The sequence below is a fragment of the Homo sapiens genome, chromosome 7, assembly GCF_000001405.40.
Source record: "Homo sapiens chromosome 7, GRCh38.p14 Primary Assembly".
NCBI lineage: Eukaryota > Metazoa > Chordata > Mammalia > Primates > Hominidae > Homo > Homo sapiens.
In genome coordinates, this window is record NC_000007.14 from 153,142,919 (window position 1) to 153,145,209 (window position 2,291).

Genomic DNA, 2,291 nt, shown 5'->3' on the forward strand with positions numbered 1-2,291 from the left:
TTGGTTTACTCTTCTTTTTCTAGTTTTTAAGGTAGGAGGTGGTTAGGTTTTCATTTGAAATCTTTCTTCATTCTTAATATAGGTGTTTACAGCTATAAGTTTGCCTCTGAGCATGGCTTTAGCTGCATCCCCTATATTTTGGTATGATATATTTTTGTTTTTACTTATGTCAAGATATTTCCTCATTCATTTGTGGTCAGAGAACATACTTTGTATGACATATGACTTTAATACTTTTAACTTTCTTTTTTTTTTTTTTTTTTCTGAGATGGAGTCGCACTCTGTTGCCCAGGCTGGAGTGCAGGATCTCGGCTCACTGCAACCTCCACTTCCTGGGTTCAAGCTATTCTCCTGCCTCAGCCTCCCGAGTAGCTGGTACTACAGGTATGCACCACCATGCCCAGCTAATTTTTGTATTTTTAGTAGAGACAGTACACCCTACTGGCCATGTTGGTCAGGCTGGTCTCAAACTCTTGACCTCAGGTGATCCACCCACCTCAGCCTCCCAAAGTGCTGGAATTATAGGCATGAGCCACTGCACCTGGCCTTAACTTTCTTAAAACTTGTTATGACATAAAATATAGTCTGTGCTGGAGAATGTCCTATGTGGACTTAAAAAGAATATGTATTCTGCTATGTTTGGCTAGAGTGTCCTATAGAGGTCTATTAGGTCTGTTTGTTTTATAGTGTTGTTCAAGTCCTTTATTGCATTGTTTATTTCTTCTTTCAATTCTGTCAGTTTCACATATTTTGCAGCTTTGTTGTTAGATGGAAATATATGTATATATATTTTCATTTTAAATAAGAAGCTTATTTAAAGAACAAGATGCTTGACTTGAAGGGAAAACTAATTAGGATTTTTTTTTAAGAGTAATTTATCCCTGCCTAAAGACAGATTGACCTACATGTAACAGCTACATGCAAAAAGTTATAAAATTGTCTTTGGTTTTACAACGATATATGAAAAACATTAAAATTCTCCAACTGAACAAAGTATGCAGGAATTTGTATGCTTTTTTTGTTGTTAAAACGGTGAGAGCAAAATAACTTACTGGAATATAAAGATAAGAGCTGAATGAGCATGCCGCTAATGGAGAAAGGGGGTATTTTCACAGAATCAGTATTTTTCCCCATCCTGTCTCCACTTGATGTCAACCAAAATATACCATTCGCTGTTTAATTAAAAAAAATGCAATATGCTTGTGCACATATACCAGCTACTTTATGTATAATAAAGGAATGGAGAAGGGGGAAATGAAAGAATAGAGAAAACTATACTGTAGCAGTCAGGATGTGGTGGAACCAAACTGCAGTTTTCTAACTGAGAATGTCATCTTGGTCTGTAAAGAACAGAGTTCTGGAGGAAAGAAGTAGGCTGCCTTCTCAGTAGACACTCCCGTCTGCTGTTGGAACACATCAATTGTACCTTCATCCTCCATTTCCAACTGCGCAGTTACATGTGTTTCATTGATTGGTTACCAGTCAAATTGGAATCTGATCCGCCTCGTTGACAATCCCTGTCATTCACAGTAGGCGTTCATTAATTTACTAAGTGGCGTATGCCTCTTAATCTTAAACTGCACCACAGAATCATCCTGTCCCACCACCTTCAAATTAATATGATCGTTGTTTTCAGTCTTAACTCCTTCGTTGGAATTTTTGTTGGCCATGACGAGCACCAGAGTCTCCTCAGCTTAAAAGAGGTACCAGGTCCACACTGAGCGAGCATAGCAGTGGCAGCCATATGTGTTTATAATGGTTATTATTTACTGGTAGACTGACCCTTTTATTATCATAAAATGTCCTTCATTTCTAACAGCCTTTTCTGTTTTAATGTCTATTTAGTCTGATCCTAATATAAGCACTCCACCTCTCTCATGAATGCTGTTAGCACACTATTTTTCCATCCTTTCATTTTAACCCTTGTGTATCACTGAATCTAAAATGTTTCTCTTGTAGATAGCATATCCTTTGTTCTTCTTTTAAAATTCAGTCTGATAATCTCTGTTTTGATTGGCTTATTTAATCCATTCATATTCTACTCTGCTTCTCTTGGAGTGACATGCCTGCCCTACAAGAGTAGCATTTGGTCTTCTGGGCTTGTCCCTCCTGGTGTGGAATCTCTGCCCTATCAGCAAGTTTTGATGGAATCAATCAGAGCCTCAGTATTGTCAGCCTGCTGTGCCTGGGGTAGACATTTAGACATTCTGCCCTACATGGAAGAGCAATTGGGGGAATGGAACTTCATCCTTTGAGCCACGCCTGCCTGAAATTCCAGGGAGCATGGGAAA

General features: G+C 38.5%; 1 pseudogene; it reads right to left on the reverse strand.

The window, feature by feature from the left end:
* Positions 1 to 1,286: 1,286 nt before the first annotated feature.
* On the reverse strand, positions 1,287 to 1,670 carry LOC124901802 (small ubiquitin-related modifier 2-like; annotated as a pseudogene).
* Positions 1,671 to 2,291: the final 621 nt, after the last annotated feature.